This window comes from Homo sapiens, chromosome 3 (assembly GCF_000001405.40).
Source record: "Homo sapiens chromosome 3, GRCh38.p14 Primary Assembly".
NCBI classification, from domain to species: Eukaryota; Metazoa; Chordata; class Mammalia; order Primates; family Hominidae; genus Homo; species Homo sapiens.
Window position 1 is genome coordinate 124,463,510 of NC_000003.12, and position 13,310 is coordinate 124,476,819.

The window sequence follows — 13,310 nt, forward strand, 5'->3', positions numbered from 1 at the left end:
TATATCTGCAGTGTCCAATACAGTAGCACTAGATATGTGTGGCTAATGAACACTTGAAATGTGGCTAGTGCTACTGAGGAACTGAATTTTCAATTTTATTTAATTTTAATAGATTCAGATTTAAATAGACCACAAGTAGCAAGTGGCTGCCATATTCGATATCTCAGCTCTAGAATAGCCCTGTGCTAAGAATGACCAAGAGGCAAGCAAGAATTGGGTGTAAAATGATCCTGGGCTGTAATAGGTCCAGATAAGGGGTGGAAAGTCACTCCTCTCTCTTCACCTCCTGGTTATTAATTCCTGGTATGTCATCAGATGGCATCAGTTTAAAGAGAACATAATATATGTAGCTCCCATGGCATGCAAACCTTGTGAGATTATTGAAGCAATACGCTCTGGGGGAAAAATAACTGTTTGACTTTCTGGAATATGTGATATAAGTTCCCAGTCTTTTGTTTTTTTAATCATAAATTTTAACACGATCCATTTGGTTTGTCTGGAAATTTCCAGATGTAGAAATATCATGTCCTCATGCTTATCACTGATAAGAGCCCAATAAAACTATTTGACCATTGATCCCAAATTCCATCATCTGAGCCCAGCTCAGTATCATCCCATCTCCCTCAGGATATCTGAGAAGACATCGGACTGGCAAACGGTAAGTCGTGTTACCTTACTTTTCTGGCTTATGGTCTCTGGGATTTACTCAACAAGTCTCACTTTCCCCATGTTCTTAGCCAATTGACTAACTACGGAAGCCTAGAGATCACAGCACGCACTTTCTGGGAGCCCTACATTTGCCAATCAGTTTATAAGGGGAATGAATATACATTTCCAAATTGATCACTTGTAACAAAATAGCTAACATAATCATGCCTCTTATTCTGCTGTCATGATATCACTGGTAAACCATGGTAAACAGTTTTGTAGTTTTCTAAATAGCTGAAAATCTACCTACCAGTTACAATATATAGTTCTAAGAAATCCTTTTAAAAAATCAAATTAAACCATAGAGAATCTCGCATGCTGTAAATCGAGGAATAAATCCAACTATCAAGAACACAGCTACCCAGCACATATTATCGAGTTAGAATATTATGAAGAAAGAAAAAGAAAATAACAACTAGCCTCTCAACAACCAGAGAAGATGCCACAAAAATTAAGTTCTTGTCTTTTCATAGAAGCATCTTTCTATCCTCCCTAACAACCTCTTTACCTCTTGATTATATAGTTTGTAAGCCCACAGCTATTTAGAAACAGCAAACAAGAATCAAGAACTTGAGTGAGTAGTGGGATACCAGCAGCTGTCTAAAGAAGACAAACTGCAAAAACAGTAGGCAATAGAACCAAAAAAAAAAAAAAAAAAACCTCATAGTGGTCAAGGGCTACTCAGTATTGGTGCAAACCATTCTGTATCCCACCATAGGGCCCAATACAGCCACTGTGTTACAGCATAGCATACTTAATATTAGCAGTAACCCTGAGTCATGAATATGTTCCGCACTAAAGGCAAATAACTGTACTGCATTTAGAAAGCTATTGACCAAAAATAAATTAATGGTTTAATTATCTGCAATTTAAGGAAATATCTAAGAAAATCAAGCTTCATATTAATTTCCTACAGGATCTGTGGGCTGTCTTTACTGTACTCATAATGTATGCTTTCTGCTTGTGTCCTACAAATTTTGATTAATGAAGAAAACATAACACCTCTAAAATCTCTAGTAAATAAGAGATAGAATGGCAGTTAGCCAACTTAGAAAATGCAGGAATTGTAAACTCTAAGGGACAGCTTAGAGGGGAGAACATCTTTCACTGCATAATCAGGTACCTGGCACATAAGTAAACATTGAGTAAATATTTGTTTGGTAGGTGAATGCATGGATGAACAAACTGAAGATAAAATTACTATTTGCAGACTTATGGCTAATACCATTCAAGTCATAATTTAATCTTTTGTTTGTAAAAGTCTCAAGACAGAGAAAACCATTAGGTATGATTTTTTCCCCATCACTACAAGAACCATCTGGAAGAGCAAAATAACTTAATTTCTACATGAAGGAGTTTCTTGGAAGCTTCTTACTGGCTGGACCATGCAGTTGTCCTAATACTTATTTATTCTTCAGAAATACTTGTCCGAAATTGTCACTTCTGAATATGAAAAAAAATCAAAGGATGCTTTTTAACCCCAATTGTTTGTATTATTCCAAAGTTGCAATTAAGCATTGTCTAACGGAAACATGCTCCTCTCATTTCTAGTGCATAGCTCAGGTTATCTGCCTGTAATCCAGAGAGAGCCTATGGGAGGGAGAGCAGGAGGAAGGAATATTGGGAGATTGAGAGATTGAGAGAGAAAGGGATTGAGATTGACACGACCTTGCTAACTTAATTAGCTAAGTCACTAGAAAATTAGCACCTAGACCAAGGGTTATGTGGTGAATACATATCTTAACTAGATAGTATTGATCTGTCTAAATGGTGTCACTTTGAAAAATTGCAACCAGGATTAGTTCTCTCTCTTGCTCTGTGTGTGTGTGTGTGTGTGTGTGTGTGTGTGTGTGTGTGTGTCTGTGATCTGTCTGTCTCAAGGACCTTTGTCTTTATAGGTATTGAATGGGGAAATTCCCCAGCACCAAAACTTCTTTAAAGAACAGTTTAATATGTAGAATTTAATACCTGCAAACATTGGCTTTAACACAAACCGGAGACTGAAGTGGAATGATACTTCGTTTTGCCCTCCACTCTCCCCATTTTGCACTACTTCTCTTTCCTACAGAAATAACTATATAATCATGAAATTTACTTATCTACACAAGACTTAGACCTATTTTGATTGCATTTTATAAGCATTCCTGGAGCACTCAGACAGGAGAATATATTCCATTAGTAGATCCCTAGACAGTAATGATTTTGTTAATGCAGTCTTCCCATTTTGCCTAGCATACAACTTGTAATTCAAGAAAATAATTTGTTTTCAGCTTGCTGTTATTAGATTTGCAACTTTGCTGTGGACAGCTTTTTGTTTAAAATGCTCATCACCTTCTGTTAAATCTGAACTTCTTCCTTTTTGGTTTTTTGGAGATAGGGTCATATGTGAGTCTGAGCAATAACATTTTCATAAAATCTCTACTCCCAGCGCTCAGAGGGTCCTCTCAACCATCAAGTACAACCCTCTCCATGTACAGACAAGGAGACAATCCCAGAGGAGTCGTTACTTGCCCAGTGTGCGCCCCTCCCCTTTCCTTAAAAGTGAGGATTTAGATTCCAGGGCTTGGTCTCCCACTTCAGCACTCTCTCCCCTTCTCTCACTCCCTAGACCACCAATGGTGGCTGCCACATCTGGCTGGTTTAATTCATAGTGAAACAGCTTCCATGTGGATCTTAGAATTTGATGAATATTTCTACCCATTTCTCCCAGAGCTATGTCATTCTTGTGCCACACCCCTACAACAATTACCTGAAATAAATCAGTTTTCAGCAAGGTCTAGATTTTCAAATTAGGGACCAACCACCAAGGTTAGATGCCCCTTCTGCACACTCCCTCCCTCCAGGCTTGGCTGGAAGCTATTAGATTTGGCCTTGGCCACCAGCCACTGCCCTCCCAACCTGGTGTTCCCTGCTCCGAAGGAGCAGGACCAGAGATGTGTGAGGTTGAACTGGGAGCACTGACCAGGCCAGGGTCAGCCAGGAGCAGTGAGGGGTGAGCAGCAGGGGTAAAATCGAGGCTGGGGAATTTAGGGAAGGGCACCCCAATGAGCGACTGAACCACAGCCACATTTCAGTCAACTTCCCAGAGTTCCTCCCTTGGGCCAAAGGTGGCTAGATTGGAGATGAAGCTGGTACCCTGTGATTGAACCCAGCCTCTGCCCTCTGGGTTCTGAGAATGACATATCTGTCTGCAATAAGGGTGGAGGTGGGCACAAGTGGAGCACAAAGAAAATAGCCTCAGTTGGAGAGTAGGAAAGGCCTCATGGAGAAGGGGGCATTTGAGATATAATTTAAATAAGGGGTGGGATTTTTACAGGCAGGGATGGCTTCCTTGATGATGGAATAAAGTTTGAACAAAGGCCCTGCAAGGGAGAAAAGTGGTGAAGTCTAGCAGGGAGGTTGAGAGAGGCAATAGGGGGTTTGGGAGTGGGGCTCCATCCTGGGTCATGGGAAGCAGAGAGAGGTCTCATTGTCGCACTCCCAGGTAGGCTGGGTCTTCTCACATCCATGTCTGTAAGACGAGGAAAAGAAAGGAGAGGTGGTGGGCAGAGATAGTGCAATTCAGAAATGTAGGGAGAGACAAAAGGAAAGGAGGAGAGAGAGCTAGGTGGATAGAGGATAAGTGAGAAAACCATGAAGTGGACAGATAATAAGGAGAAAGGAAGAGATAGAGAAGGAGAGAAGCAGGAGAGCCAGAGGGAGGCAATGACGGTGGGAGGGTGGATAGGTAGGTAGGGTAGGTAGTCAGGCAGGTAGGTAGGTAGGTAGATCCATCTGCGGAAAGAGGCCCTAGGGAAAGGGGAGGGGATGAGGAGAAGGAGATCGAGGGAAAGAGATGGATAAAGACCTAGACCTTCCCAGAGCTACCATCCTGTTGAGGGAGAATGAGCAAGGTGGTGTTTTTCAAACCATTTTTATCATGAACCAAAGAAAAAGACTGTACATTATGCCCTGATATACGCATGCATATATGCTATATATAACAGGGAAGTTAAATTTTGAAAAACACCTGCATTATGTGTGATGCACTGTGGTATTTTGTGTTAGGCTCTATTTCTTCCTCCTCCTCTTTTTTAAAATTCTGGTTGCCACCCATAAATTGATTTTACAACCCCTTGAAACACAAGGGGGGGGTTGATCCATGGCTGCACGGCAGAGCGCTAGCTCCACCAGGTGGTGAGAGAAGGGATGTGCAGTTCAGGCCACTGGGGAAAGGCCGCCCTGTCAGGCTGCTGCTACCTTTTCCTCCCTCTTTGCCCCTCCTACCCCTTCCCAACACACACACCCTTGCTTAAAATGTGCATGTTCTATGCTTTCTAAGCTTCTTCCCCCACTCCAAATGCCTTTGGTGTTAGTGGTTTCTCACGTATGGAAAATCATAGAATTATCAAATATAAAAGCCCGAAAGAAATCGTTAAAGATAATCTAGTTCTCCCTTGCTCTATAGAAACTGAAACTTACAAAGGTTTATGATCTGCCCAAACCAAAATTAGTGACACAGCCAAAGAATCCAGCTGTCATTTTCTTAATAGTCAAATGTTAAGGAAAGAGGAAGGGGAAGGCCTGTTGTGATTTTTCTTTGGTCCCCAAACGCACACTTGAAGAGGTAACTTGCAGAACCCATCAGAGGAGCCCTATACAAATGTAGCTGTGGTCTTGTTACTGTTGTTTGTGTTTTCAGTAAGCTATCAACATTGGGGCTGATTATAGACGTTAGGGAATACCCAAAACAAGACAAAGTCTAAACACTTCGTTTGGATGTGTCAAAGTAATGTTAATTTTTGTTTTACACACTAACTTCTTAGCATCCATGCCTGGTTGCTAAACACCACCTTATTGGAGATGAGTAACATTAAGCATAAGATTAATCTTTTGTATTTTATTTTAACATTAAACTTGGTATATATCTATGCAAATAACTTTATTCATCTGATCACACAAATTAGACAAAGTTAGAAGATATTGGCAAAAACATATTCAACAGGTAACCATGCAGCAAGGTAAATTTTGCTGCTTGTGGTTGGAGGCTGAGAGTGTGATGTGCTGAATGGGCGTCCAGCCCTGCAGACCTTTCCTCTTCATCCCTAACCTGAGCTAAAGTGTCAAGTGTGAAATGAAGGGACAAAGCCAGGTGCTTCTCATGGCTCAGCCTGGGTGATCCAACTGTGCTGGAACTGTTACATGAAAAATCCAGCACCTTTCCCTGAGTGTACATGACCCTCCATTAGTTTAATACCTGCTCCAGTATGCTAACCGGCTATCTTAGCCCCTATGGTCTAGAGCCTCTTATGTTCTAGGCTCTGAATCTGCCTGGTCATTAATGGATTCTTTAGAAATAATCTCTAGCTCTACTTGCATGAAGGCAGTTACCCAGCCTTGCTTTGAAAAGAAGGCAATGTCCTGGACTTCCTATAAATACATGAACCTCACACCTTTCTCCCCACCCCATTTCCGACTTAATTTTTAAATGTATGCTCCACGTTGTTCCTCTTTTTCCCGTTGCCACAACAGGCCCCTTCCCCTATCACCACCTCTGGCGTTCCAACAAGCAAATGCACATTGACATACAAGGTCATCAAATAGTTATTTCCATTTAGATGCAGACTGCACCCTTGATGTAAAGTCTGTTTGCTGACAAGATTGTGCGCTCCTTAATGAAGGATACACTTCCCCAGAAGCAGTGAGATTTTAGACCAAATTCATCTTCAGAGAGAATAACAGAACCAGTCCAGTACCTTTGAAATAGTGCTGTTTCTATCATATTTAATGACAAAACTCAGAAAGCTTTCTGTTAATAAATGCCAGCAGTTTCATTTCCCAGGATTGTGTACAAAGCCAAAAGGAAGCATTTTCCTCATAAAGTAACTGCATAATATATTAAATTATAATAATTTAATAGAGTAATGGCATTGCCTTGATCTTGACATTTCTTTAAAAGTTTTATTCCTTTCTGAAAGAACCCCAGACATTCACACAAATGACTTGCTTTGCTCATTCCTTCACAATTTATTACATGTAATTATTGGAGTAGTGAGGGCCAAATTGCTGCTATAGAACAGCTAAGGTGAAATGTTTCATCATTTGTGAAGAGAGTTGTGAGCTGTTTTGCTTTAATTTGAATTCATCATGTCTATTTGAAGTAAGTAGAATAATATGGATCAGACTTACATAATCTGTCATCTTCATAAGCTTCCAATTAAGAAGTAAAACAGAGTTTAATATTGCCACTTACTTTCAACATTTACATTGAGATGGTAATGAATATCTTATTCAAACTTATCAATTGGTATGCCTGGCACAAGCTGAATAGGTTTTTTAAAAAAAAAAATGTTCTTAGCTTTCTCCCCCTAAATTAAATCCTATAGAGCCGATGTAGGATTTGCCATCTGGAAGCATCCTGGAATCTAGGACAGTTGCCTTTAAATGCTCATCTATGGACTGGATGTGTGGGAATTACCCAGGAAGCATTTCTAAACAATGCATTTGCTCAGATAGTAACCCCAGAAGGCAATGTACAACCAGGTGTGGGACCGCTAACTAGAGTTTTCCAAGAGTGTTCCTTGAGACAAAGTCTGATACTCGCCCCAAAAGTGCTGCAAGCACAAAGAAGTTTGAGAAGCACTGCATATTGTATTTACTTCAGAGGTTTATAGTGTAACTCAACATATTATAGGATTTTGGAAGTTCTTCAGCAAAAAAAACCACCTTAGCCCAACATTTCCCAAACAAGGTGACCTTGGAATCTAAATGTTACATAATAACCAATCAAGATTTTCCCAGGATATGGTTTAGGAGAAAGTAACCTGCTGCAGATTTTTCAGCAAGGGCTTGGTAGGGAGTTCCCCCTAAATATAAGTCTCCAGGAGTGGGGAAGAGGGTCAGATACATGTTTACCAAAGAGAATATGAGTTTATTAAGATTGAGAAGCACTGATCATGAAGAACTACTGTTTATTTAGTGTCTACTGTGTGCCAGGCACTGGGTTGGGTTCTTTTTACCTGTGGATTTATTAAATCCTTACAAGCACCCCCACAAAGTTTTATTATTATTATTATTATTATTATTATTATTATTATTATTATTTGAGATGGAGTTTCACTCGTGTTGCCCAGGCTAGAGTGCAATGGCGCGATCTCAGCTCACTGCAACCCTCCGCCTCCCAGGTTCAAGCGATTCTCCTGCCTCAGCCTCCTGAGTAGCTGGGCTTACAGGCGCCCACCACCACGCCTGGCTAATTTTTTGTATTTTTAATAGAGACGGGGTTTCATCATGTTGGCTAAGCTTGAACTCCTGACCTCAGGTGATCTGCCCACCTCAGCAAAGTTGTTATTTAAAGATGAGGAGGATGAAGCTTTGGAAGACCCTTTCACAACTGTGACCAAGTGTGAATGCTGATTCTTTAACTTGTGCTCAGTTGTGGGAGGGGAAGAAAGTCAGACCTGGGGGTAGGCAGATGGGTGAGCTAGTGGTAACTGCTGTTAAAACCTTCATTTTCCAGCACTTTGGGAGGCCGAGGTGGGCGGATCACGAGGTCAGGAGATCAAGACCATCCTGGCTAACATGGTGAAACCGTGTCTCTACTAAGAAAAAGACAAAAAAATTAGCCAGGCGTGGTGGCGGGCGCTTGCAGTCCCAGCTACTCGGGAGGCTGAGGCAGGAGAATGGCGTGAACCTGGGAGGCAGAGCTTGCAGTGAACAGAGACTGCGCCACTGCACTCCAGCCTGAGTGACAGAGTGAGACTCCGTCTCAAAAAAAAAAAAAAAAAACAACCTTCATTTTACAGAAAGGCATTCCTCATGAAAATTATATGCTGTGCATTTAATTCTGGTTATAGTATTTTTGCTTCCTGAGGATTTTCAAATTGTGCATCTTCCCATAGGTTTTTGGTAGCTGCTATCACAAAAGTCAGGGTGTTGCTCTATTGAAATTGATCAGATTTTAAATAAAATTGCCAGCACTGTCTTTCTATCAATGATCAATTCTTTAGACATAATTATCATTGTTTACTTCAAATTAAAGTGACCAGGCCAATTATCCTTGGGTCATAAGTCAAGGAATGGCTCTCCCTGAGTCATCATGGGTATCCTTGCCACTTCTGACACAATAAAACAATTTTTTATCCTGTGTGGAATGTCCTGATCCAGGCTGTTTTACCATTTCTTTGGCTACTCTTAAGGGAGAAGGGCCCAGGCTGGGCACGGTGGCTCATGCCTGTAATCCCAGCACTTTGAGAGGCCAAGGCAAGAGGACTGCTTGAGCACAGGAGTTTGAGACCAGCCTGGGCAACATGGCAAGACCTCGTCTCTATTATTATAAAAAATTGTTTTTAATTTTAAATTAAAATGTGTGTGTGTATATGTGTGTGTGTGTGTGTGTGTGTGTGTGTGTACCTGTGTGTGTGTATATATATGATGATGAGGCAGATTGATTCTTTTCTCAACAGAAAAGTATATTTCCCTTTGGGTCTTAAACTAAGTTTGATCCTCAATTATAACATTATATAGCACTTTTTAAAATTTGCACTTTAATGGTCATATAAAGTACATATTAGTTTAAATGTGTCACTTGTAGTTCTTTAAAAGGTAGCAACAAATATGACACTTTATTGACTTTGAGCACTACATATTTGCATTTCTGAAGCCCAAATATCATTATAATTACTCTTTGATTCAGGTCAGAATACTCTAAAATCACCTATGTAAGGACAAACTGGGTACAGCTAGGAGTCTCCCAGATTTTTTTTAAATGGCTTTTTGCTTATCGCTAAAGCAATGCTCATTTGTCGTAGAAAAAATTAAATTGCAGATGGACAAAGAAGTCATCTATTATCCCATCAATTATTGTTAGCATTTTGGCTTTCCAAATAGGACTTGCCAAACATCTTTAATTGCACATACATATTTTTAAGCTCCAAACAATGTCATTCTATGTCACGGAAGGAGGAACACATACAACACATATGTGAAATCCATAACCACTTGTAATTAATTATACTGCCAAAATGCGTGGACAATAGAAGCTAGGTAAAGTTAGTCAAATAACATTTTTCCCTCTATGGTACAGGTAAGTAGTAGAGTAATGCAGAACCACTTTATATCGTGTATCCTTTAATTCAATTTTTGAAGGTAATGTATTGTCACAGTTTTAAAATCAAAATTAGATAGAAAAGTAAACATTGAGAAGTGTCACCCACCACTGTCCTCTATTCTGTTCCTTCACCTGCTTCCCTGTGGTAATGTCTTTTCTTAGTTTTTTGGGTTGGAAATAAGAATACGTAATTCCTACTGAGACAAAAAGTTGCATGTTCTACATATTCTTCTGTACCTTTTTCCACTTAGCTTCTCCCAGAGTTCTTCCATATGAAAACATAGAGAGCTGTGTCTTCTTTTCATAGCTGCATAGTATATAGCTCTGTGGATGTACCATAGTTTAAACGCTTTGTTCTTTACAGACCATCTTTTGCTTGTATAAACAGTGTCACAGTTAATACTCATGTATATACATCATTTTATATGTGTAGAAATAGCTACAGGAAAATTTACAGAATTCAAATTGCAGAGTCAAAAGATAAGCGCATTCATGATTTAATCGGTACTGTCAAATTGTTCCTTGTAAAGATCGTAGCATTTCCACTTCTGTCACTATGTGTCCCCAAAGCCTCATAATCACTTTTTATTTGAAAAATATTTTGTTTTTTACAGCAAATACCATCCTAATAAAGCATGCTGGCTTGTTAGAATTTATATCCTATGAACCCAAACCAATGATTTAATACATTATTTTGAAGTCAGTGTAATTATTTCTTTATTATTTATTAACGTGGAAAGGAGCCATGGCACAGATATCCACACTGGTGGATAACAGTTGTAATTCAATTCAGCTTTGGAATATATTGTGAATTTTTACCCATTAAGTTTTCTTTCCTAATGGTGTCTGTATTATAAAACATTGTTTAATACATAGTTTTTAGTACAAATTGGCTACTGGTGGAAGACAGAGGCCAAAAATTAGAAAGAGGCCAGTGTAGGCTGAATTTTTTTCTACTTTATCTCTAGGATAGCGATATTTTATTTTGTTTCTTTGAAATATCTATATTATTTAAAATATTTATGATGTGCTTAGATTACTTGTGTAAAAAAGTAGATTCTTACTTGCTGATAAAAAGTCCAACACAAACAAAATATTTTATTATTTACTTTCACTTCTAGAAGTGTTCACTCCGAGAGAAAGAATATTATTTTAAGTAGCACTAATTAATCAATTAACATACATTTTAATGAAATTAGTTCCGACATTAAAAACTGCACCTCACCATCTATCACTTAGACAGTAGAGAAGCCATGTATAAATAATTGAGAAGTTATGGTTGTGCTGGCCTCAGTGCAATCCTCTGGGGGGTCAGCTGCACAGAGGTGTCTGATTCAGTCTTTTTCTCCTCTTGCAGCATCTTCCTCAAAGAGCTGGAGAAGTACGAGCAACTGCCTGAGGATGTGGGACACTGCTTTGTTACCTGGGTAACCAACCTGAAATCCTTCTCCCACTGCCCATACACATGGCACCACTCTTCAGTGCCTGACCTAAGGACTGGAGTCATTGCCAGTCTCACACAAGACCAGGGGCTACTGAGAGGGACCATGAGTAGGTCTGAGAGAAGCCTTGGGAAAAGTTCTTAGACATCAAGATTAAGCTCCATCTTAAGCTGTCTAAGAACTTTCTAAAATTGTGAGGTTGGAAGAGTGGAACAAGACTACCACCCCTGGCAGAGGAAATGTGTCAGCTCAGTCCATTAGCTATTGTTACAGGATATGGATTAGGGAATTAGAACTTTAGGAAGCCACCTAACCATTTAAAAAAAATTTTTTATCTTTAATTTTGTGGATACATGGTAGGTGTATATATTTATGGGGGAGACAAAATATTTTGATACAGGCATGCAGTGTGAAATAAGCACATCATGGAGAATGGGTGGGGTGTCCATCTCCTCAAGCATGTATCCTTTGAGTTCCACCTAACAATTGGTTACATTTTCTTCTTTAATAGGGAAAAACAGATTTTTTGGGTATCCATCCCAATCTGACCCACAAGATGAGTGACTGTTCATCCTCCTTCATGCTGTTATCATGGGCCAAGTAAAGGGGCTGAATGTACCAGATTCTAATTATATAAACTGAAACGTTAGTCTTCATTGGCTCTCTACTCCGCATTATTCTGAACTCAGGCTCATGTACAATATATGAATGCAAACATCTCCAGGGAAGTCCACTTAGGACACTGAGTGCAAACATGGAAATCCTCCCCCAGGGTCAAGCGTTCTACTATTTAATAATTACCTGATAATAACTTCCACCCATAAGGGGCTAATTGCCTTTCAAAGTGTCTTCATGATTCAGAGAGTTTATGTTCTCAACAGCCCTATGTGATAGACAACACTATGTTTATGTTTTAGATTTTAAACATGGGAAAATTTCAGATAAGATAGGAGGTTGACTAGTTCACTGACATGTAATAAATATCACAGCCAGTCCCACAACTCAAGACCTGATTCTCAGATAAGCTTTTTTTCATGAAATCTTAATATTTGCTTCCAAGCACTCTTGTTTCTTCAGAAAGTCTTAGCTACCATCTTATTTTGTTCTAATACATTTTCTACCCCTAAATATATGAGCCAATACAAAGCTCATATTAATGCTGATAAATAATTTATGATCCCTTGCACAGCAAACATAGAGAATGACAAGATTGACCATTAAGTAAAGGGTTTTTTTTTTGCATCTTCTTTCATGAAATTTGTGGATTTCCTTTACAATCAGTCATAAGAATGATTTATCATCATCTCCTAGGTAGTACATAGTTCCAAAAACTGGTTTCAGAAAATTTTTTGATTGGATAAAATATTCATCTTTTGCCAAGAATTATCCCAAGGTGACTTTCTTAAGTCTCATAATCTTAATATATGAGTGTAATGCAGAAATGAAGGGTAGAAGAAGTTGTTTGTTATGTATTGAAAGGCAGTGGTCAAGACCAGGAAGCCTAAAGTCAGATCTCTGCTTAGTTAAGTGACTTTGAATTCCCACAGGTAGCAGAGCCCTGTGGGAATTCAAAGTCACTTAACCAATCTGTGCCACAGTTCTCTCATCTGCAAACTGGGGATGATAACAGAACTCACTGTATAGAGGTCTCATGAGGACCAAATGAGTTAATACATGTAAAGCTCTTAGAACAATGCTAGCATAAATGAAACCTGCTGTAATAAACACATATTTGGGCTGCTGTCTCAGAAGAGGATGCCAACACAAAGTTCCAAAGGCACTGAGATGGGTAGCATTTCACCAAATAAGAAAAGTATTTGGTGGCCAAAATACACATACCTTTCCCAGTAACGCTAACCCAGAGAGTCTTCAGAGTCTTGAATTTTCACCCAGCCGTAAGGTTCTTGGCTTGAAGCAACAATCTAGTTAGGAACCATTGTTTAGCCTCTGCCCCAGGGGGTCACTCTGCTTTCTTTTTCCCCATGATTGCTCTGGGAAGTTGGGGATGGCATAGTCCCTTGCCATGCCCCTCAACCTTTCTCCAATGGAGACATTTAGAGTACAAGCAGATC

The 13,310-nt window shown here is 39.5% G+C and overlaps 1 protein-coding gene across 40 annotated transcripts in view; it reads left to right on the forward strand.

Annotated features, from left to right (window-relative positions):
• Nucleotides 1-13,310, forward strand: part of KALRN (kalirin RhoGEF kinase) — a 692,957-nt gene that overhangs the window by 430,141 nt on the left and 249,506 nt on the right. For all 40 annotated transcript variants that reach the window (NR_170953.1, NR_170952.1, XM_006713810.4 and 37 more), the window contains one exon: nt 11,154-11,223. Coding sequence is in view for 38 of the 40 variants with exons in the window: in XM_006713810.4 (XP_006713873.1) it covers nt 11,154-11,223 (70 nt within the window). In the remaining 2 variants the exon portion in view is untranslated. The remainder of the gene's footprint in view (nt 1-11,153; nt 11,224-13,310) is intronic.